The sequence below is a fragment of the Homo sapiens genome, chromosome 14 (assembly GCF_000001405.40).
Source record: "Homo sapiens chromosome 14, GRCh38.p14 Primary Assembly".
Lineage (NCBI taxonomy): Eukaryota > Metazoa > Chordata > Mammalia > Primates > Hominidae > Homo > Homo sapiens.
In genome coordinates this window covers 93,673,276-93,697,429 of record NC_000014.9, presented here as the reverse complement: position 1 = coordinate 93,697,429, position 24,154 = coordinate 93,673,276, and the positions used below count along the sequence as shown (strand labels likewise).

The 24,154-nt window shown below is 40.7% G+C and overlaps 1 protein-coding gene across 33 annotated transcripts in view, besides 4 other annotated features; it reads right to left on the bottom strand.

Annotated features, from left to right (window-relative positions):
* The window catches only part of UNC79 (unc-79 subunit of NALCN channel complex), a 374,695-nt gene that overhangs the window by 10,447 nt on the left and 340,094 nt on the right, over positions 1-24,154 (bottom strand). For 32 of the 33 annotated variants that reach the window (XM_011537027.3, NM_020818.5, XM_011537026.3 and 29 more), the window contains 7 exons: positions 23,975-24,079; positions 14,736-14,813; positions 10,769-10,858; positions 8,590-8,765; positions 7,127-7,313; positions 5,484-5,681; positions 3,018-3,095 (listed from right to left, as the gene is read on the bottom strand). In XM_011537027.3, the coding sequence (XP_011535329.1) occupies positions 3,018-3,095; positions 5,484-5,681; positions 7,127-7,313; positions 8,590-8,765; positions 10,769-10,858; positions 14,736-14,813; positions 23,975-24,079 (912 nt within the window). Of the gene's footprint in view, positions 1-3,017; positions 3,096-5,272; positions 5,398-5,483; positions 5,682-7,126; positions 7,314-8,589; positions 8,766-10,768; positions 10,859-14,735; positions 14,814-23,974; positions 24,080-24,154 lie in introns of those variants that run through there. The other variant, XM_011537025.3, reaches the window with a different exon arrangement.
* Positions 7,170-7,863: an enhancer, noted in NCBI's record as "H3K27ac-H3K4me1 hESC enhancer chr14:94155913-94156606 (GRCh37/hg19 assembly coordinates)". NCBI's record gives its function as "activates a minimal SCP1, AML or CMV promoter by ChIP-STARR-seq in primed H9 embryonic stem cells {active_cell/tissue: H9 hESC(primed)}" and the evidence as "EXISTENCE:reporter gene assay evidence [ECO:0000049][PMID:30033119]".
* Positions 7,864-8,557: an enhancer, noted in NCBI's record as "H3K27ac-H3K4me1 hESC enhancer chr14:94155219-94155912 (GRCh37/hg19 assembly coordinates)". NCBI's record gives its function as "activates a minimal SCP1, AML or CMV promoter by ChIP-STARR-seq in primed H9 embryonic stem cells {active_cell/tissue: H9 hESC(primed)}" and the evidence as "EXISTENCE:reporter gene assay evidence [ECO:0000049][PMID:30033119]".
* Positions 8,558-9,251: an enhancer, noted in NCBI's record as "OCT4-NANOG-H3K27ac-H3K4me1 hESC enhancer chr14:94154525-94155218 (GRCh37/hg19 assembly coordinates)". NCBI's record gives its function as "activates a minimal SCP1, AML or CMV promoter by ChIP-STARR-seq in naive and primed H9 embryonic stem cells {active_cell/tissue: H9 hESC(naive and primed)}" and the evidence as "EXISTENCE:reporter gene assay evidence [ECO:0000049][PMID:30033119]".
* Positions 9,252-9,946: an enhancer, noted in NCBI's record as "NANOG-H3K27ac hESC enhancer chr14:94153830-94154524 (GRCh37/hg19 assembly coordinates)". NCBI's record gives its function as "activates a minimal SCP1, AML or CMV promoter by ChIP-STARR-seq in primed H9 embryonic stem cells {active_cell/tissue: H9 hESC(primed)}" and the evidence as "EXISTENCE:reporter gene assay evidence [ECO:0000049][PMID:30033119]".

Genomic DNA, 24,154 nt, shown 5'->3' with positions numbered 1-24,154 from the left:
GCATAGTGGCTCACACCTATAATCTCAGCACTTTGGGAGGCCAAGGTGGGCAGATCACCTGAGGTCAGGAGTTCGAGACCAGCCTGGCCAACATAGTGAAACCCTGTCTCTATTAAAAATACAAAAATTAGCTGGGCATGGTGGCAGGTGTCTGTAATCCCAGCTATTCAGGAGGCTGAGGCAGGAGAATCACTTGGACCTGGGAGATGGAGGTTGCAGTAAGCCGAGATTGCACCATTACACTCCAGCCTGGGTGACAGAGTGAGACTCTGTCTCAGGAAAAAAAATAAAAATAAAAATAAAGAAATAGAGATCAATGGGACAGAATCAAGAAGTCAGAAATAGAATTGTATAGTTATTTGATTTTTGACAAAAGTGCAAAGGCAATTTGACGGAGAAAGTATAGTATTTTTAACAATGATGCTGGAATAACTGACTATCCATATACAAAAAAGGTACCTCAATCCACACCTCACACCATATACAAAAGTTAACTCAAAATAGATCACAGATGTAAACTAACACCCAAGTGAAAACATAGATAACACTTAGAATAAAACACAAATAAAACTCTTTATTATTTTTGGGCTAGGCAAAGATTTTTTAAAATACAACATCAAAAGCATGATTCATAAAAGAAAAAAATTGGTAAATGGTACTTCATCAAAATTAAAAATTCCAAAGACAAACCACAGAGAAAAATCTTTGCAAATCACATACCTGATAAAGGACTTGTATCTCAAACTTCAGTAATCAGGAAAAAACCCAACCCAATAAAAAATGGGCAAATAATTTTAACAGATACTTCACCAAGCAGACATATGGACAGCAAATAAGTACATGAAAAGATGCTTAATGTCATTAGCAAACAGGAAAATGCTATTTAAAACCACAACAAGATACCAGTACACAACTCTTAGAATAATTAATATTAAAGATTGACTATGCCAAGTGTTGACAAAGATGTGGGGGAACTGGGAATGCTCATACACTGTTCATATACTGGATGTAACAGAGCACAACAGCTTTGGAAAATGGTTTGGAAAACAATTTTTTTAAAGGTAAATATACATCTGTCACATGGCCCAGACATTCTACTCCTAGGTATTTGCCCAACATACATGAAAACATATATGTACACAAAGACATCTTCATGACTCTTCATAGCAGATTTATCTGTAAAAGCCCCAAACTGGAAACCCCCTAGATGTCAAATAACTGATAAATGAATAAGGAAAATGTGGTATATTCATACAATGGACTACTACTCTGAAATAAAAAGTAATTGTCCACTGCTACATGCAATAACATGGATTAATCGCAATATAATTATTACAAGTGAAAGAAGGCAAAAGAAGTATATACTGTATGAATCCACTTAAAGAAAATTCTAGAAAGTGCAAGCTGATCTATAGTGACAGAAAGCAGGTCAGTAGTCATCTGGGGACAGGGAGATGAGTAACCCAACTGAAGGATTATAAAGGGGTATGAAAAAAGTTTTGGTTGTTTTTTTGTTTGCTTTTTTTTTTTTTTTTTTTTGAGACAAAGTCTCATCCTGTTGCCCAGGCTGGACTGCAGTGGCAAAATCTAGGCTCACTGCAACCTCCACCTTCCGGGTTAAGCGATTATCCTGCCTCAGCCTCCCGTGTAGCTGGGATTACAAGTGTGTGCCACCATGCCTGGCTGATGTTGGTATTTTTAGTAGAGATGGTGTTTCACCATGTTGGCCAGGCTAGTCTTGAACTCCTGGCCTCAAGTGATCTGCCCACCTCAGCCTCCCAATGTGTTGGGATTACAGGCATAAGCCACCATGCCTGGCCTGAAAAAACTTTTGGAGGTGATGGATATGTTCATTGTCTTGATCATGGTGCATGGCATAATGTAAGTCAAGACTTACCAAACTGCACGTTTTAAATATGTACCATTTGCCATATGTATATTATTGCACCACTGCACTCCAACAGTGTTGACTTTTGCTATTATCAAGCTACATATCATATATCTAACCCATTTGAACCAATGATCTTGTTCTGTTCTGGTAACAGTCAAGTTTTCCCTGAAAATGGGCTGCTTTTCCTCAGCATAGTGTGAGTGAATGTGACAAATGTTCTTTGTTGAAGAGTGGAGTTAACCAAGGAATGAAACAGCAAGTTATAAGGTTCCAAGTTGATGCCCACTAGTGGGTGGTGATGGTGGTTGGTGACAGTGGCCAAGATAATAGAATATAGAGGTGAAAGATAAAGAAATACAAGAAGAGATACAAGGAGAGGAAGAAGGATCAGAGAGACAAAGAGGTGGAACGATAGGAAGGAAAGGAAAAAGAGGGGAGGCAGAAAGATAAACGGAGTGGGAAACCAAGTTCTCTACTGTTTCGTTTTTGTATCACACTAGTCTGTTTCTGATGAGAGGAGGGTATCCAGGGAGGGGAGATGACAAATGCTTGAATTTCTTTTATACACTGTATAATGATTTAAAATAATATTATTTGAAACTAAATTAATTTGTCTTAGAGAAAGCACCAGATACCATGTCAGACAATTACAGACTATTTTCCTTGGTTTTCTGGATATGTTTTGCAAGGTAAGGTGATTTATATTAGAATAGCGTAATTTTCACATCAATATTCCCCAGTAATATTTTCAGTACTTGTGTTACCTTTTTTTTTGTTTGTTTTTTGGTAGACACAAGGTCTCACTATATTGCCCAGGCTGGTCTCAAACTTCTGGGCTCAAGCAATCCTCCTGCTTCAGCCTCCTAAAATGCTGGGACTATGGGCATGAGCCACCATGCTTGGCCTGGTCTGATAGATTTAACCCAGGTAAAGTTGGTCACAGTGGTAGACCAAGAGCAAAATTAATGCAATAACCATTTGGTAAAGGGTTGTTATAGGAGCCTGAATTCTCCAGCCCCAACTCTGAATGTTAAAACTAATTATCTTCAGAAAGTACCTTCAACATAAATCCACATTTGTTTTTAGCAGTAAGAAATGGTCTTTAAAAATCATAAGGTTTTCCTACCTTGACAAAAATGGTCGAATTGCATTCCTGCAATGCCTCCATTAAACTAATCACATGGAGACACACCATTTCTACCATCTGAAACAACAAACATGAAAGTTAATTCCATTTCCAGTGATATAGAAACCTTGCAAACTAGTTTGCAGCCGCAGAAGACCGATGTCCTGTGCCCATGAGGTCTTTCTGTGTAATGACCGTAGGAGACCACTGGCAGTGGTGTTCATTCACCTCTGAAACGTCAAACCAGAAAAAGAATTTTAAAAAAGCTCCAGAGGCTTGGTAATTGTCATGCCTCCCTCATTCAACTCAGGGCTGCCAATGGAATTCAGGCATTGATCTCACTAATCTGCACTGCACTGACTCACACCAGGGGATAAATGGCCTCTGTTGCCTTCATTTCTAACTACGGAACTCTTTGGGTGTAAGAGTTCTGTATCACGCTAGTCTGTTTGAGAGGAGGGTACCCAGGGAGGGGAGATGACAAATGCTTGAATTACTTTTATACACCATATAATGATTTAAAATAATATTATTTGAAACTAAATTAATTTGTCTTAGAGAAAGCACCAGATACAAAGTCAGACAATTACAGACTATTTTCCTTGGTTTTCTGGATATCTTTTGCAAGGTAAGGGGATTTACATTAGACTAGGGTAATTTTCACATCAATGTTCCCCAGTAATATCTTGATCCTTTCTCAATCTTGATCCTTTCTACACAGTGTCTTCATCGGCAATAACTGTTTAATTCACTGCAGATCTGCTTCCGAGGCTTTATTCTCCGTGGGACAATGTAGCCATGCTTACGACAGTTCAAAGACAGTAGAGGTGATGTCCCTCATCAGAAATTCCTATGGCTGGATTTTAAATATTCCAGGGAGATTTTACCAGACTGGCTTATATGGTTTAACAAAATTTTCAGAATGAATTTAATTCAAATTCTTTTGTAATATCATTTGCATAAAATTCATGTGCAACAAATTCATTTGTAACATTTAAATATGGAGAGTGATTTGGAGGAGAGGTATTTCTTGGTATCAAAAAACTAATGATAGAAGGAACATTTTTAATCTCTAGCTTAAGTGTAAGGCCTCAGTTTTGTTGTCTGTGAAATAACAGAATAGAATGTTTGATCTCCAAATTCTTCATTAGTCCTAGAATCTGTGATCCAATAAATGTAATTATTTTCCATTAACAGAACTATTCAAACGCTAAGATTTTCACATAAACTTCCTTTAAATTGAACTAAGACATCTCTCTACACATAGAATTGCCTGTATCATTTGCATCTCTAAAGAACAAAGTGCTTCACTAAAGGAAATATACCATCCCCTTTCTAATTAAGAACCAAAAGAAAATACTTCTTAGACTATTATTCTATCAATTAAAAAAAATTTCCTGAATGCCTTTTGTGGGCAGTGTAGTGTTGGGTTTCAGGGTACACTGGAATCATCATTATGGTGTCCCTCCAGGTCCCCTGCTCCTCACAAACAAGAACTCTATTGATGGTGTCCCCATAACAAGACGCTGGTTGCAGCTTTCCCAGCTGAGAGTCCTCCTCCAATACACAGTCAGAACCAAAGGACTCCCTTGTAAATTCCTTCCATATATCCTCCAACCTTGACTCCAGGATGAATACTCCACACTGGTTCAATGAAGTGGGCTTAGGCTAGCCATACCCCAGACATTTTCCAATGAGCTCTGGAACAGCCCCTTTCTTGGTAGCCGTCTACATTCAACAGTACTGGATTTGAAGATTGGGGAGCATAGGTCCCTATAAGCCAGCTTGAAAACGTGAGGCTCTTTTCAGGCTTTGAGGCCTGAGTGGAATGAACACCTGTAGTCAGTCTACTCTTAAACCACCACAAATAGATTACCCAATTGGCTAAGGTTTTTCTAAATTGCTTTGCAATCCTCAATTAATATGAATCTCACTCCTAACCCTCTGACATTATAGCATCAAACAACCCTTCAAGGTAGATATTTCATACAACATACATTTGATGTTAGGCAGAAAAAATAAAAATTGTTTTTAATATTAATAACTGTACTTGTTTGCTTTTTTAATATTCATATATCAATATAAAAGTTTTGAGATAGATATACATTGTGGAATGGCTAAATCAAGCTATTTAACATGTACATTGCCTTACGTACTTATTTTTTATGGTGAGAACATTTGAAATCTCCTCGTAGCAATTTTCAAGTATAGAATATATTGTTATTAACTGTAGTCACCACGGCGTACAATAGATCTCTTGAACTATTATTTTGTTTTTAATCAAAATGCTTATTTTTAATCAAAATGCTTATGCAAGCAGAACATCCAGCTTATAAGGTAACATATCCCCGATCCATTTATATAACCTTACAACTGAGATCTGTGAAAACAGGGAGTGTGAGGATTAGGAGTGGTGTGGACACTTTGAGATTCCATCTCAGAAGGGAAACTCGTCTGTGAACTCACCACTTTGTTATGGGCCATTAGCTGAAGGATGCTGGGTGTCACCCTACTCCAAAATTCTAGTGCTGTCAGTATCGCCGTGAAGCTGAATTCATTCTGATTTTGGAGATTTGTAGCGACGGCACTTTGCTCGCAATAAACTGTCCACAGCTGAGCAAAGATGAACGCGTGGAAGAGGGAGCACATGTGCAGCACGGAGGTCTGAAAAGGAAGAAGACGGCATCAGTGCATTGCATCCCAGCAGGCTGTGGCCCTCCACGGAGTCCTCCCGCATGGCTTTGGTCTTGCCAGGGAGCACAGGGGAAGCACAAAGGCATAACGTTATCTCAGAGTTACAAAGTCATGATTCATCACCTTGAAACTATCTGCTGTGCTCTCTTCTCCACCAGTGGGAGTGTGCTCAGAGAACAAAGCACATTTTTTAAGAGAAGGCACCTTAATTTGCTGAAGAAATCTACCCACCCCCTTGCCCTTTAATGAAACTGACATTCCCATCCCTAAACTAGATTAGGGAGAATAATCATTCTGCCATGTTAGGATGTTTCCTCATCTGTAAAATGGGGATAATAGTAGTCTCTTCAAAGCATGGGAGTAAAGCAGGTGATATACGTGAATACACGCCCAGAAGTTCATAATCATAGCAGCAGCAGCGGAGATCCTCCTCCTAGCGGAAAGCACGTGCAGAGAGAGCACCTACAACACGCCAGAGATGGCGCCAGAGGCTTTTCCTATATCACCTCCATCACTCTCCAACCATCCCCTCGTCTATTTCACAGATGAAAATCTGAATAATAGAGAGGTTAGACACACTTGTCAAGCTCACAAAATCGCAAGTACCATAGTTAGGAATCAAACCCGGATCTGAGTAGAAATATTAGGAATCGACTGCCTAATTCCTTTTGTGAACATCATTTGGATCATTGGGATGGGTGCGCCATTTTATCACATCGTCAGCTTGCCCTGTCCCAAACCCGAGCTGTCCCCAAGACCAATGTGACCTCCCAGAACTTGCCGAAGCTCTGTGAAGGTCCCCTGGCTCCTCGGAGCTGATTAGTACCAATGTGTCCGGTTTGCCTGCACAGGCTCATGACTGGTGCCTGCCTTGGGTCTACTTTCTTCCTTTAGCACATCACCTGTCTCTGCAATTTACAAAGTTCCCCTGTGTAGGTCATGCCAATGTGTGCTTTAGTGAGTTCCCAACTGGCCTTCTTGTTTTCATTTTGTATTTTCCTGTATCTCTAGAGATTTCAGTTGAAAAGATGGTACATGAAGAATTAGATAGAGAATGAATTTTCCTTTGTTTTGTCTCTGGTTTTAAAAACTGATCACAGAATTTTGATTATATTTCTAGCCTTTTATTTCTCTTCATTATTTTGAGACAGAAATGCCTGGGAAGCCAACTCTTGCTTGACTCCATGATTTATCTTTATAAAAGTAAGCCGAAAAACAATTTGGGGGCGGGGGGAAAGACAGTCTGGGAATCTAAACAACTTTAAATAAGACATTAGCACAAAGTTGTGTTTCTAACATCCACAGGAGGGCAAATGATAAGATGTATTTTCTTCTCAGAAGAAACATAATTGGCTGATAAGGTTTCCATTAGCAATTGCGATGCATACGGTCTTAATCTTGCAGAAATCACTTACCTTTGATTGCTCTGGAAATCCAATCAGGATAACAATAAGATGGTCTGCAACGTGGGAGCCTGCATCCAGAGGAATGGGCAGGCAGGGAGAGGAGGCATTTGGGCACACTGCATTGTGAGTGAGGGAACCCAGCAGCAGCCAGGACAACAGTCGGATATGGGAGACACACTCAATGAATTCTTTAGGTCTATTAGAGAAGAAGGAGTGTTAAAGATGATTTTATGTTTTGTGTTTCATTGGGTGCATAACAAATGCTTATTGAAGGAAGGGATTGAAAGTGTGGTCTTGCAGGCAATCACATAAAACAAAACGCCAAGGCAATTGAGTGTCAACAAAATGATATATCTGTTTTTCTTGTTTTCCACTCTAATCCTGGATCTCAGCTTCTTGAGAAAAGAACAGCCTTTGGTGACACAGGATTACACAGCATTCTTCCACAAGGCTGACTGCCTCTCTGACTAGCTTCTCTTTCTAAACCCTTTCCACTCCTGCCTTTAGAAATTTCTTCTCTGGTGGGCCGGGCGCGGTGGCTCACGCCTGTAATCCCAGTGCTTTGGGAGGCTGAGGCGGGTGGATCACCTGAGGTCACGAGTTCGAGATCAGCCTGGCCAACATGGCAAAACCCCGTCTCTACTAAAAATAGAAAAATTAGCTGGGCGTGGTGGTGCATGCCTGTAATTACAGCTACTGGGGGGCTGAGGCAGGAGGATCACTTAAACCCAGGAGGCGAAGGTTGCAGTTAGCTGAGATGGTGCCACTGCACTCCAGCCTGGGCAACAGAGCAAGACTCCGTCTCAAAAAAAAAAAAAAAAAAAAGAAATTTCTTCTCTGGCATCCCCAGTAGAGGGGAGGAAAGAGATGAGGAGATATAACACAGCTGCCCATTTTCCTGCTCCCCAGTGATCTTTTCCTCCTACCCTTCTCATTCCCACTCTACACTTTTCCTCTGGACAGGAAGGCTGACCACACAAAAGGGTGGGCTCAAACCTACTCTGAGTTCCCAAGTCAACAAACCCATACATGCCTCTCTCTTCTTTAGCCTCCCTAAAAGGCAGAGCCAGGGGCTTGTACAATCTTGCACCGATTTCATCCCTGTTATAGCTTTTGTTCCAGCTACAATCTAAGCTGCTTGAAGGCAAATATATTGATACATACCTATTAATTTACTTAACTAGTTGAAATCAAGCATTAAAGTGGTAATTCTAAGCTCAAAATTTTCATTCTTCATGAAAGGACAATTGAGGTTTTTGTGGGAGGACAGGTTTATTTTTTGGCAGCATGTCAAAGAGCATTCTGGGTCAGCAAGTACGTAAGGAGATGGGATCTGATTTCCATCTTCCTAACCAAGTATATTCCACTGTCATAAATCTTCGGTGTACTCCTTAACTCTAGCTGAGCCCGAGGAAACTCAGGGGTGTCTCCTGCCTTCTTTACCCTCATTCCCGGAATAGTAAGGGTCTTACCCTTGCTGCATTGCAGAGGGGGGATGATAAAGCCAAGGCAGATAGCGGATCACAGCTTTGTTATCTCTGTGGTTGCCCCGTGAGATGTCCATGGCTGCAATCTGGGCCAGCCCCACTTTGAGATGTCCCCCAAAGGTATCTTCATGCAGAGGCTGGGAACATGTCTTCATGTGGCTCTACAAAACCGAATGGTATTTTGTAACTCTGGCAGACACCTGGATTCATTCCAGGCCATTCTTTGAAAAGAAGAGGTTGTCATTTCCACCCCGCTTATCGCCACTCTGAGCAAACAACCTGCTTAAACTTCTTCAGAGCCTTCCCATTGTTCTTAGGATAAAAGGAGGGAAAGTTCCCTAGCCTACAAAGCCAGAAAGATCCAGCCACTGAGAACTTACCCCTTCTGCCTGCAGCTCCAGCTGTGTTGGCTCTCTGTGTTCCCCCCTGCTGCTATTCCCTTTGTCTGGAATGCCATTCCTGCCTCTCTTCACCTAATTGTTCAGGTTTTAGCTCAAATGTAACTTCCTCTGGGAAGCCTTCCCTGACCTCCCCGGCCAGGTCCGTGCTGCCTTCTGCCTCTTTTTCATAGCAATTGTGAGAGACACATTTTTACTGTAGTTTGTGTGAAATGTTCACTAAATGTGGCCTCCACTACCAGACTATAAATTAAATGAGAGCAGCTACTGTGTCCGCTTTTGCTCATCACAGCATCCCCAATGCCTAGAACAGTGCCACGACATTACAGGTGCTCATACCTATTTGTTGAATTAATTTAGAAAGATTTCTTTGCTCAGTGTGAGCTCAGTGGGAAGGGCACTGAACTAGGCATTGAGACCTAGGTTCTAGACCCAGGTCTGTCCTAGCTAGTCCCATGGCCTTAGATAAGCCACTTGCCACTTGATCCTTCTGATTTGTTTCCCAATATGTAAAATCAGAGGGTGAGATTATGTCTGTATTTCCAACCTTTTGATGATCCTGGTTCCTACTTATTATTTTTCGAAAGCATCTGCAAAACAACCTAAACATGTTTAGGTAATAATTGTTTCCTCTTCTTTGTACATCAAAGTCATTTAAGTATGGGTATTCAGATTCAGCAAGCAGTAACCGGCACAGGAGCGAACGACAGGGGAGCTCATTAAGAAATGAATGGGTTTACATATCGTGAGATATTCTCAGTTTACATTTTGATTCTACTTTCTGCCTGGGATTTGCAAATCTATCACTGTACCAAAAACCACTTTGATCGTCTGAGCAGAGCCAGAGAACAGTTCAGTGATTAAGGGATGATATTTTTGGCTGATGAACTTCTGGGATCACTAGCTCCTAATTATCAAAAAGGAATCATCTAGCACCAGATTGCAATTTGGCTGCTCCTTGGACCATGTTTGGATTCTCTTCTGCCCTCTGTCTAGGGCCTTCCTCAGATCTCTCAAACTATTCATCTTTTAGCTCCCTAGTTGAATCACAGCAGGAAAGTGGACCTGCATCAGCAATTCATTCCACCCTGCAAAAACTCAATAATCTCAACAATTTCACTGGGATTTTGTCCATATGCAAATTAAATTTTGTTCTATCCCCTTTCATCAAGGATTTTAAGAAAACAGCTTCAATGGAGCAAAAAATAATACATGGTGTATGTTTGCATAATGTGCTACAGTTTATGAAAGTCTCTTCACGTACATTATTTTTGATCAAACCCTCGTAACAGTCAGGCAAGGTACAGATGATTAGATTCGTTCTTCAAATGAGGAAACTGATGCTCAAGGTAATTAAACGATGCTATGTGGTAAAAAGAGAATGAATTGAGAGTCACAAGAATCTTGGGTTCAACCTTGACTTTACCACTTAGTAGTGTGACTTGAGCAAGTACTACACCACCCCAAGCCTCAGTTTCTCCATTTGTAAAATGGGGATAGTATCTTAACAGAGGTATTGTGAGAAGTGAATATATGGCAAAAGTAAAGCTATGCATGTGGCTGATGCCATGTGAATGTCCTTTCCCTTCCTCTTTTCCTCTTTGCAAAGCTGGACCCTGGCTCTTTGATCCCCCAAGACAGGGGCTCATTCAACAGTGCCACGGCTGCCTCCCCAGGTAGCGATAAGTTCCCTATGGTCTGCTTAATTCTCTCAAAGCATCTCTGTTTTGTGAACCTGAGGGATGAGCAGGTGGCGGTCATCTCACCTTCAGTTTGGTCAGCGTGTGCATGTCTGCCATGAAATCCAGCACTTCGTTGATGTACTGCCTCACACACTCCATCGCTGCAGTCCCACACTGAAACACAAGGACACAGCTGGGTCACACCTTCATTTTTGCCCTGACTCCAATGATTGCCTCACTCTGGTTTCACGTTGTTTACTAAGGAGTCGTTTTACTTTCTGGATTTCTGACTCACTCCATTACTCTCAGCTTGGTCTGTGACTGTCTGCCCAGCATTTGGACAAAAATTGATAGAAGGTTTGTGGCAGAGAACAAAGAAACAGGAGAGGCCTATGGGAGATGGGGCTAAATGCTTTTATCCACTGGGTAATTGAACTGATTTTGTGTGTGTGTGTGCTTGTTTTTAAACTGCTTTGTATGCAAAGATTCAGCCTATGTCATGCCATTAGCATCAGAGTCTTTAGGACATCATTCATCCCAAAACATAGCAACACATTCTCATTCTAGGGAAGTCTTAGCTACACATAAAATACGTGCCACCAAATTCTACCACCAGAATCTTGAATCTATTTTCTGTCAAAAAAGTACATAAACAAGCATCGTGTTTGCTGAAAGAGTCAAAAATTCTCATGCTAGTCAAGTCGCTTGCAAATTAACTTCTTATACACAGTAGGTACACTACTAAATAGATACATGTATTACTGTCAAGTTCTTGCTAGGGGATAAATAAAAGAAAGAAACGAAATGGTCATCTTCCCCACATGCTTGAAGTGTGTTTGAAAAGTTTTGAAGGAAAAGAAAGCAAGTTTGTGTTTTAGGTCGTTAAATGACATTGGCCTGCTCTCCCTGAGAATGCAGTGAATTTAGGATTATAAGCAAAGCAAAGGAAAATGAACAAGCAGGCTGCTATATCAAAGCCGTATGAGAGAAACCACACATCAGGCTGGGTATCATGTGGATCAAACGAGGCAGGCTTTGAAGCCAGATGAATACTACGCTAAAGGCCTTCCTCGGCTTTCTTCAGGAAAATCTGGAACATTATAGACTTAACTAGCTCACCCAGTGGCTCTCATTTTCCCATATTCATGTAAATCTGCGCGGTACTGAACTATATCACCTTCTCTCTCTTCTAGAATGTTACGCTTGTCAGTTCTTCTGACAGGATAACAAACAGCAAAGTAAGGTCATTGGCAGTCTGTCAGAGTGTTTTCCAAGCATTTCGTACGTTCCAAAGTTTTCTTCTTTTAATTTAAATCAAGTGAAGGAATTATAAAAGGTTATTGTGTTCCTGCTTTTGGAATATTAATCCTTTCGTGCAAGAAAGGATTTCCCCGCGATTTATTCCATTTTCTCTGACCTTTCACATGTCATGCAAATAGGACTGGAGACTATGTTCTTGAATTTCTTGAAAGGGATTTGTTTCTTTCATAGGCAATATTTTATAGCATTTCAACTAGGCAAATGTCACTGAAAATAATTCCTAGGAGCATTATTCAATATTTGTCTTTTAAGTTTGAATCTCAAAAAATGAGAGCAAGGAATTTACTACCACCAAGTCACTTTTGTTTTAGAGACAACCAGCTACATCTGATAAAAGCCTTAAAATTCACTGTATGGTCAAGAGAATCTTAGTGAGCCATATATACTTAGGAAACAAAACATATAATTTCCAATCCCTCCTCCTTTTTTTCTACTTTGCAAAGCTTAAGAATAACCTTAGGTGTGTTACTTAAGAAACAAAACAGAAGAAGTCAAGCTCCATTTGTTTCAGAAGAGCTACATTTATTTCATAGGAAAACTAACGATTAAAAAGTTGAAAATATTCAAAACTCAAACTCACAAATTGAAGCAAACCATAGCTAATTCTTCCTCAAAACTAATATTTGATTTTAAAGTTACATTTCTTAGATTATAAAAGCAACACATGTTTAATATAGGAAATTTGGAAAATACAGATCATTAAAATTAAAATTGAAATCACCATAATCCTAATTTCCTGTCCTCCACCTCTGGGAAAACTACTGTTAATATTTCCTTCCAAGTTTTTTTAATTTTTCTAATGTATATAACATACACACATACATATAATGTTTATAAGATTGAGATAACATTTTTCTAACTTGCTTTTTAATTAAATACATCATAAGCATTTTCCAATTAATTAAATATTATTTGAAACTTTGATTTGGTAGGTACATAATAGTCTTACCTTATGGATGCAACTTATTTTATTTAAACAATACCCTGATGATGTTAGACATTTACTTTGTTTCCATATTTCTGCTATTTTAAATGATGCTTTAATAAACATACTTAATATAAAACATGTGCATATTTATTTTCTCAGACATATTCCTAAAGGAAGATTGTCAAACTGCCCTCCAGCAAGGTTGGTTTTACTACCACTAGTGGCTTACAAGAATGCTTGTTTCATTTTACCATCAATAAGTCTAATCATTGAGGTGGATCTGCTGGGGAGGGAAAAATGGGGAGGTATTAGTCAAAAGGTCCAAGGCTTCAATTATGCAAAGTGAGTAAGTCCTAGAGATTTACGGAGCAGCGGAGTCCCTAGAGTTAGAAATATTGCATTACATACTTAGAAATTTCTTAAGAAGGTAGATCTTATGTAAAGTGCTCTCATTGCTAATGACAAACAAACAAAAAAACAAATAGGGCAGGAAGAAACTGTTGGAGATGATGGATATGTTCATGGCATAGATCACAGTAGTAGTTTCATGAATGTATAATCATTTCCAAACTCATCAAGTCACATACATTAAAGATATGCAGCTTCCTATATGTCCTTCATGCCCTGATGAAGTGTGTGTTTTTTTTTTTTTGAGACAGAAAAGTCTGCTGATTGGCTAGCCGATTTTAATTTTTATATTTTAAAATATTTTTATACTTCATATTAACTTACAATTCATTGATTGCTATCAGAGTAAAAGGTTTATTTTTAATGGCTTATTGGTCATCAGAAAGGGACCTATATGTTGCTTTTCTGTTGTTGTTGGAATGTTCGTCTTTTAATTACTGATTTCAATAACCCTTTTATTATTAGGGACATTATTTTTTTAGCTATGGCATAGGTAGCAAATATTGAGTTTTAAAGAATTAAACGATAAAGGAAACAGCGAGCATGCAGCAGAGACTGGCTAGCCACTCCCCAGGTCTGTCTTCTTCCTTGGCCCACAACTAGACCACATTTCCCATCATCCCTTGCAGTTGGGTGTGGTCATGTGACTGAGTTCTAGCCAATGGAATGTGAGTAGGAAAAAAACCACACACTTTTAGACTTGGCCTGTGAAAACCCCATGGGCCATATTCTCTTCCCTTTCCCCAACCACAATCAAGCTGATTGCAGCGGACTGCACATAATGGAAGAAACCTGATCCCCGAGTATGCACGTGGAAATCCCCCTTTCCCTACTAATCAGGATACCCATTTAAACTTCATATGAGCAAACAATAAACTTTCATAAGTCGTTGAGAATTGGGATTTTTGTCTCATAGAACCTTGTATTACATTATCAAGAACCCTTAAAAAAAAAAACATAGTTTAGTCATTCTATTCCCAGAAATCTATTATAAAGAAATGGTCTGAAGTATGGACAAAGATTTAAGCACAAAGATGTTCTTTGCATATTAGTTACAATAGAAAAATATAGAAAATAACTAAAATATCAAAAAATAGGCAATGTTTGTTAATATTTTTAATAGATAACATTTTCACAGCATTTACTATGTCTGGCTCCTTGCTAATATGCTTTGCATGCATTATCTCGTTCAATCCTCAAACTATATGTTAAACCCTGTTATATCCCATTTGACAGATGTTATGAATCAAAGAATTATAGGTTAAAATACGTTCCAAAAGTCACATAGCTAGTAAATGGCAGGCCTCAAACCCTGATGTAAGTCTAAAGCCTACATTCTTAACTACTATTCTATGAAATGTAAGTATGTAGACAATGAATTTGGTCAGGACTTACTCCAGGTACAGAGGCTATCATCTGCTTGCTCAGGATTGTTGACTCAGCTAGTTTGGTTCCAGCATCTGCACAAATAAACTAATAAAAAAGTGAAAGGATAATTATTTTTAAGGGTATCTGGACATTAATAAGTAATTTATCATTTTATTAACTTGGCTTAAATTAATTAGTGTTTATTTTCATGACGATCTGCCTTGGATAGATCAGATTTGCTAATCATGATGGTTCATTCCTATCAGAAACTCAGAATCACAGTACTAAAATTAACACACAGAGTCTTACTTTACCCAGACTGTTAAGTGGCACTGAAATGGTGCATTCAATCAAAGAAAAAATAAAAGATGTCAGCATTGTCAGATTTATTGTGAAGTCATTCTATTTATTGTTTAGTACTTCTTGACAGTTACTGTAAGCACATTTCATACAGTTTCATGATTTCTATTATCGTATCATATATTTAGAAAGAAACCAGAAAAACAATCAACCTCAGAGTGAGTATTCTACCTGTTTCTTCCCCACAGGGGAACTTCAGCATCTCATCTTCCTGCCCCTATTCATCCACATGTATCCTTTGTGCTGATAAAGACCCCCACTCCTTCTCTGGGGGCCCAGAGGACTTTTCACACACTTCCATTGTAACAGTCACCACGTCAGACTGCAGTGACTTATGGGTCCATTTCTCAACCTGCTGTGAGCTCTTCAAGAGCACAGGCTTGATGCACCTCATCCCCAGCACTAGCTTGGTGCCGGACACCTCAGAGGGGCTCAGTGAGAGTTTACAAAGCAAATCCATTAGCCAGTTATGACTTGAGATCATTACAAGAATGGATTTGCCAGATTTCAATTTAATTTGCTTCATTACAGATTTTGACAGGTGTTTCTCACTTAATGCAGCACTCAATTATTTATTAATAGTCTTAGGAAAAAAAGTTAACCATGAAGTAGAGTTGGCTATGAGCAATTAGGTCCTGTTCAATTTATATTTCCTGCCCTCTGGCCAGTAGCCTTAACAACTTTGGGACCTGAAACTGCTGCTGTGCAGAGTTCAGAAGTTTCAGCACCAGTCGCTCCGCCTTCTCATTCATTTTGTTCTCATACTGGAAGGCACAGGGAAGCTGAATGGGTCAGCAGGCTCGGTCCCTGTCACACTAGAGAGAAGTAATAACAACTAGGGTCGCAGAGTAAATCTCTAGGAGGCCTGATAAGGAGGCATGGAACAAAGGAACAGAAACCAGCATATTATCGGGCTAGTCAGGGGTTTAAATGTAAGCATTATTAACAGGTAGCAGGTTTTGGCTAACTGGGTACACCTCTAAGCCAAAGGCCTCCTGAGGCCAAGGAACCCTTAGACTTCCGGCTCAGGGCCAAGAGCTGGTGTTCAAGTGTGGGAGGGGCGTCCTCCATGGAAAGCACGTAAGTATATGTAACTGAATGGGGGCAAGAGGGCACAAGCAGAGCTGTCCCCAAGAGCTGTGTGACAGGAGTGGACACAGATCTCCACATTAACATTCTGTCATTTCCATTTGCCTCAAATACAGTTACAGAAAACTGAAGAATCTATTTAGCCATTAACTCTGAATCTGGCATAGAAGGGGACAACTGGTAACATCCTGGGAACACCTAGCGTTTTCTATGATCTTATCCAGGTTTGCTATGTCTGCTCACCTAACTTAAGCTTATTTCTAATGTAAGGAAAAGTAAATAAATCAGGTTTTAGAAAATGTAAAGCCTTTAACTCCAGCCAAAACCTATAAGTAAAAAAATGAAACCTGAAATATTTGATAGACGTACACAGTGAACAGAAGGAACACTCCCAACCCAGTCTCCTGGTAGAGATTGCATGTTTTCCCATAAAATTCATTTTAAAAAGCTATCTAGGCCAGGTGTGGTGGCTCACGCTTGTAATCTCAGCACTTTGGGAGGCTGAGGTGGAAATTAGCCAGGTGTGGTGGCACATGCCTGTAACCCAGCTACTCAGGAGGCTGAGGCAGGAGAAGAATCGCTTGAACCTGGGGGGCAGAGGTTGCAGTGAGCCGAGATGGCACCACTGCACTCCAGCCTGGGCAGCAGAGTGAGACTCTGCTTCAAATAAATAAATAAATAAATAAATAGCTATCTAAGTCTTCAGTCTAAGACAAACAACTTATAATTGAGTTCTAAAACCTCTGTGAGGACAACAGCATTAATTTTAATTAAGTTATTTACATCAGAAATGATATTGCATAGCTAAGAGAGGCCACAGGGGAGACAGAGCCATATCTACTATGCGAGGTAAGGGGCTCACTTAGAGCTGTCTCTATAAGGATGGTTTAAAGTCCTAGACCCCACTTAAGTATGTTTGCATGGCCTGGATGGGCCCTTGAGGTCAAGATAAGGTTTGTGAAGAAGTAAAATTTTAAATGTCTGTATCTCCCTTCAGCAGATCACTTTCTCACCTATAATACTCAGCAAAGTGCAATGCAGAGCATAATGTAAGCACATTTCAGCATGGTTAGCAATCACACAGCGTCAAGATCTGAGGTTGGATCCAACTGTCTGATTTATGAGAACTCTTACTAGTCAGAATTAATCAAAAATCACCCTAAAAGTAAAGGAGGTACACAGAGAATCCGGCATATTAAAGGAAATAAAAGTGCATAAGCCTCAGAAATCATCTTTTTTTTATCCATGCATTGTCATCCAGCATATTTTTACATCAGATGCACAACTAAAACCTTAATAAACCTTTCTGTCTTTGTTTTCTATGGCTGCCAACCATAAACTGAAAAAAAATCTATTATGATGTTATAGAGCTGCTCAAAATATAATCATATATAACAAGAATCAGGGAAGGAAATGATGATCGCTGTCGAAGGAAGAGTTCTGTACCTTGAGGGAAATCGGGCACTGAAATATGCATTCCCCCATGAATACAAAAGAAACATGATATCTATTATATGTCATTACTAACTTCATTATCAAAATGATACCCAAAATAATGTCTTCACCTCTAATCTCAGAGTGATCACATTGTTACGAACTCAACTAATATTAATAACCCCATTCAATGATAACTCTGTGAATTAAAAACAACAGCTGTTCCTCCACCAGTTCTCTGTCCTCCAGCCCACAACGAACACATCTTTAAAAGAAAACCTTTCTTCAACAATATGATCTCTCATAACTTCAATATGCAGGTATACCCCACAGACTGGGAGTGGTACATGCAAATTAGCAGAATATCTACTTTTTTTTTTTGAGATGGAATCTCGCTCTGTTGCCAGGCTGGAGTGCAGTCGCGCGATCTCGGCTCACTGCAACCTCTGTGTCCCGGGCTCAAGCGATTCTCCTGCCTCAGCCTCCCGAGTAGCTGGAAATACAGGCAGATGCCACCACATCCAGCTAATTTTTGTATTTTTAGTAGAGACGGGGTTTCACCATGTTAGCCAGGATGGTCTCGATCTCTTGACTTCGTGATCCGCCTGCCTCAGCCTCCCAAAGTGTTGGGATTACAGGCGTGAGGCACCACACCCGGTCGAATATCTACTCTTGACACATAATAGGAGCTAAGGAAATTCTTTCTGATTTGAACTTAAACAGTCTTTATGGTGGGAGTTATCACTTATTATGAAAACTCTAATCTATCTTGAGAACAATTATAATAACCTATTACACATAAAATATCCACAGCAAACCAGCAAAAAAGAAAATATTGGAAACAAAAAGCAAAAACGTCAATAGATCTGAATTAAAATAATGTGCTAGTGCATCTGTCCAAAATGCAAAAGGAGAACTATGCCCTGGGGATCAACAATTTGGACTCTGAAATGACATTTTTCTATTCAGCAAATTCTTTCCTATCTCCACGCCTCTTTTTCATTAAAAAGAAAAAATCCACCTGAACATTTAAGGCCACCCAGCTTCACATGTAAATTCACACATAAACTTTACATATGTAAACTTCATATGTAAAAAAACTTTATACGTAAACAACAGTGGTCATGGCTAGACAACCACAATAGAGGCAGCTGGGGAATTCCCCATGATGCCAGGCCTCCAGGGAGAACTTCTAGGAATTAAAAAACAGATTGGTACCAGTTACTGTCTTGACATGTTTAAAACTTGGGTGATCCCACATTTCTTGGACAAGCATTCTATTTGTTCTTTTAGGGGCCTCTCTTACTGCCAGAGTATTTGGCAACACAAAGGTATGGTCTATCTATGAGAAGAATAGAAATGGTTCCATCTTAGTGAGCTCATCTATCTACTGTTATTAATTAGAAAAGTAGTAGAGGAAATATCAGCAGTTCCCTATGGGGTGAAAGAATGAACGGGAAATGCAACATTGGAGCAACAGACTCTGTTTTCAGCATGGGGACCAGTGTCATTCGTGATGGATCACCTAGGGAGTTTTTCCTTCTGGTTACTGATCTTTTTTACATTTCCAAATTGCATTTTCAGTTAACTAAACCCATCCTCACTGGGTGGCCTTCAGATGATGGTCACTGATATACATAAAGAAAGTCACTGTCTGCTCCTGGCAGATCATCTGTCCCTGATGTAAGCCTGGTTGTCCAAGTGCCAGGAGGTGACAATGCCCAAAGGTAAAGGGGAAAGGTTTCCTCTGACTCCAGCCTAGATCTTTGGCCTAAAAGAAGCTTCCAGAGAGTAGGCTGTCATTTCCACTATTCTACAGAGAACACCTGGAGGACCCAGGCAGTCAAGGGCAAGAAAAAAAGCAACTGAGAAACCCTAGAAAGAGGCACTAGGCCAGGCGCAGTGGCTCACGCCTGTAATCCCAGCACTTTGGGAGGCCGAGGCAGGCATATCACGAGGTCAGGAGTTTGAGACCAGCCTGATCAACATGGTGAAACCCCATCTCTACTAAAAATACAAAAATTAGCTGGGTGTGGTGGTGCGTGCCTGTAGTCCCAGCTACTCAGGAGGCTGAGACAGGAGAATCACTTGAATCCAGGAGGTGGAGGTTGCAGTGAGCTGAGATTGCACCATTGCACTCCAGCCTGGGTGACAGAGCAAGCCTCCATTTCAAAAAAAAAGAGGAACTACTCACAAGAGAAACAACGTTTCTCCTCATCCCATCTGACATGGTTTGGCTATGTCCCCACACAAATCTCACCTTGAATTGTAATAATCCCCATGTGTCAAGGGGCCAGGTGGAGATAATTGAATGGTGAGGGTGGTTTCCCCCATACTGTTCTCATGGTAGTGAATAAATCTCACAAGATCTGATGGTTTTATAAATGGGAGTTCCCCTGCACAAGCTCTTTTGCCTGCTGCCATGTAAGACATGAATTTGCTCCTCAATCACCTTCGCCGTGATTGTGAGGCCTCCCCAACCATGTGGAACTGTGAGTCAATTAAACCTCTTTCTTTTATAAATTATCCAGTCTCAGGTATATCTTTATTAGCAGCATGAGAACAGACTAATATACCATGTGTGGCCCCATGGAAGACTTCTCTCCATGACTTAGGCAGGACCACAGGGCAGAAAAGGGAACTACTCTGTTTTAAGGTATGCCTCACTTTTATTTCTCTGATTAGAAATAAAAATTGCTTAAGAGTTTATAGAACAAAGATTTGTTACTTTGAAATGGCTTAATTTTTTTTTCCCTTGGTGCTGAAACCCAGGAACAAACCACGCTCAACATTTTTTGTTGGAGAAGACTGAAACATTTCCATAAAGTTGTTTTTCCTGGGCATGATCTGAAAATGTCTCCAAAATACCCCTTCAATCTGAATAATTTTACAACTTGATGTTTTGTAACTTAATGATTTCAATGACAAGTCACACATTTGTTTTAAAAAGATGAAATGGTAGATGAAAACCCATAAAACACATTCAGAAGTATCTTTTTGCTGTCTTTCTTCTTCATTTGTTTTTGTTATTTATTCACCTAACTGTGATGCAATAATCACTGTTTTTGTGGTTTCCTTAAGCACTGGGTAATTTAAACTGTCAGTGTTCTTTTGGCATCTTGTGACAAGTGCTTATTACAGTTGACTAATGTATTGCATTGAAAACCAGTCTCCAGCAGTTACAGTATGGAGTGCTAGACCCCAAGAAGATCAGCCACACAGATCTGCTCTGCTCAAGACAAAGGGCAATTAAGGGAATGCTGTTCACTGTCCGCAGGAAAGCACCTTCAGTGCCCTGAAGTCTAGGTGGTTTTCAGGTGGCACATCTCCAACTGCAACACTCTCAGAAGCAAGTGACCTCCAGACACAGTCAGGCTGCTAACCTTAAATCCCTCCCGGGATATTTCCCTAAGCCCTGTTCACCTGCCCTCTCCTCCAAGTCAGTGTAGATCCCATGAATCTTCAAAAAGATCTTTTTGGGCCAAGAGCAGTGGTTCACACCTGTAATCCCAGCACCTTGAGAGGCGAAGATGAGTGGATAGCTTGAGTCCAGGAGTTCAAGACCAGCCTGCGCAACATGGCCAATCCCCATCTCTACTAAAAATATTTAAAAAATTGGCCAGGCATGGTGGCCCACACCTGTAGTCCCAGCTACATCAGAGGCTGAGGTAGGAGGATCACTTGAGCCAGGGAGGCAGAGGTTGCAGTGAGCTAAGACCATGCCACTGCGTTCCAACCTGGGTGACAGAGCAACATCTTGTCTCAAAAATTAATTAAAAATAAATAAGTAAAAAAGTCTGTGTGAACACTGCTTGTTCTCAAAGGCAGTGTTGCTGCTGCTATGTGAGCAGAAGGGCCTGGCCAGTGCAATCCACAGAGAGAAATGCAAAGTTGGTTTCTCTTTAGGAGCACAGATATTTTCTGGCTGTGACTTTGCTTGTCTTCCTCCTGGGATGTCCAGTAACTTGGTATAATAAGAGCCACTTCATTCTGATGACAGCATGCCCTGCATCCATTGCTGTCATTTTCCAGCAATCACTGACTCACTGAGAGTTCAATGTGTCCTAGAAAGCCCTTCAAAGACAACTCAAGACCATTCATTGAAAGTACACCAACTTTTTAATTAAATCTCAAGCCTTTGAGAAAAACTCAGTTCTGATCCTAATGATTTGTAGTCTCTAGAGAGGGAGTACGGAGACCAGGCAGTGGATATTCAACAGTAAATGACAAGAGTTGTTCCTCATCTTCTCTACTGGGTCAACTCCTGAACTTCTGTGCATCCTTCAAGGTGCATGTGAACTCTTCTACAAACAACACTTCCTTACTCAGTACACATCTCTACTACTGTACCCGTTGCACTATGTGGGAATTTTTTTTTTTAACTTACATGTCAACTTCAATTGCTAAATTGTAAACTCCTGGAAGGAAGGGGTCATGGCTGATTCTTCTGTTTCCCCAGCACCCTGCAGAGCACCTGGCCCATGTCAGGCCTCATAATGCTTCATAAGCCTTCCTCCGTCTCCTAGGTTCAGTTAGCCACTTCCTCTTCCACAGTGTTTTATACACTGTCTAGACTTTCAGGAGAGTAATTGGCACATTATCAGGATATGCCTGTCACATCTCTATATTCCCAGAACCCAGCCCAAGATAGGTGGTCAGTAAATATTTGTGGTGGGAAATACTGCTGAAGAGTCAGATGTGGCCAGATGATGGAAGACCTGGATAGTTCAGACCTTACAAGGTCACTCTAGGTTTCTGATGCAAGAGTGATCTCTATCAGAAAAGCGGAGTTTCAGCAAAATTCCTCTAGGCAGCCACAGGCCAGAAGATTGGGTTGGTGCGGAAAGAGATTAAAGAGGTGCACAAAGCTAAGAGCTGTTACAGTAATCCACGTAAGGGATGGAAAGGGCCTGTCAAGGCTGTGTGTTATACCAAAGGGAGCTGGGCTCTGAGCCCTAACACACTGAAATCAGGTGCTTGATACTACCTGTCACTTAGGCCAGCACCGTGGTCTTGGGCAAGCCACTGAACCCCCCCATGCAATACAGAACCAATGCTTCACGAAGCTGTAAGGATCAAATGCTTAACACATAATAGGTCCTCCATTAGTGTTCCCTTCTCTCTCATGTCTCCAAAATGAGTACTTAGAATTCAGGGAAATCTGTCTAGTTCCTTGATACCAAGCTCCCATATTCCTTCAATCATTTAACCCTCAGCTTGTAGGCCCAGACTCTGGGACTGGTCTTAATGCTCATCAGCGAGTGCTGACACAGCTGTGATGCAATGGCTGGGCACTTTACCCAAAGGCCATTGAATGACACCCTGATCCCAGCTGTAGCTCATGGCCAAGTCTCTAAATCTAGCCTCAACCCTTGGGTGAGAGGCAGGGTGCCAGGTTACCTGAACCCCTGCTGATTCCTCTGGCACAGCCATTCTACTTTTTCTCAACCCTATCCTCATGCCATTATCCCTAAATGTACTCCACCATCCTGCCTAAGCCTCCCCTATGCTTGAAGCCAGTCAACCTCTCTATGCTGAACCCTAATCCCAGGCAAAGACATTTGTCTGTACCCTCCAGTCGTTTGTGACCCAACTCAAATGCTACTTCCTTCATGAAGTCTCTGATTTCACATCATAAGGGGTGGGATCCATCCTGCTCTCAACTTCTCCCTAGGAGTTTTTTTACCTCTTTCTCTCATGGCACTATCATAGCCTGTCTCAGGTCATCGAAACCTGCATGCCTGCCTAAGATGCTGAGTTAAGGACAGCAGGGTAGAAGGCTTTAGTCCCTCAGAAGCCCTAAAACCAAAAGCATAATTGTTGCCAGTTCTCGAAAGCCTGCCTTATAGTGGTCCTCAGCTTCAGTGGTCCCCTGAGGGCTGAAGCGTACCTACACCCAACTGTGGGTACCACTCAGTGCATCCTGCCATTTGACTGTCTCTGGCCTGACCCACCCTCTCCTTTACTTCTGCTCACAGAGATTCAGGGATCACCCATACTCATTTGACTCTGCAGTCAGACCTCAGCCTGTTCCCCCACTTCTGGCCTCAGTAGACCTGTCTCAGCTCTGGTGACTGACCTGACCCTCTAACCTACTGGATCACGCATTTCTTGGGGACAAAAATTATTGTTTTATTCTTCTTTTTAACCCCCACAGAACTAATTCCACAGTAGGAACAAAATCAATACTCCTTCTTGGACTTTTTTAGCCAGTGGAAGCGTCAGGTGCATACTATTAGTTAGATCATGGTCCATATAAGATATATTATTTATCATCTCTAAGCAAAGATATTTAGTTCTATGCATACACTCTACACCTCCCTTAATTTTCCCAAACATACATGGATCTCATGAAAAGTTTTACAAATCAAGCATGAGCTTACCTGAACAAGCAGAAGAAGGTTTGTATCTGGTAAAGGAGATTTGAGCTTTAGGGCCTGCAGAAGTTCTAGAACAACACTACGAGACAAGTAGAATTTATCTCGTTCCTAAAGAAAACAAAACAGAAGGAGGTAAGTGATTTTAGAAATTCAATTAGAGTATATCCATGTCAAAAGAGCTTC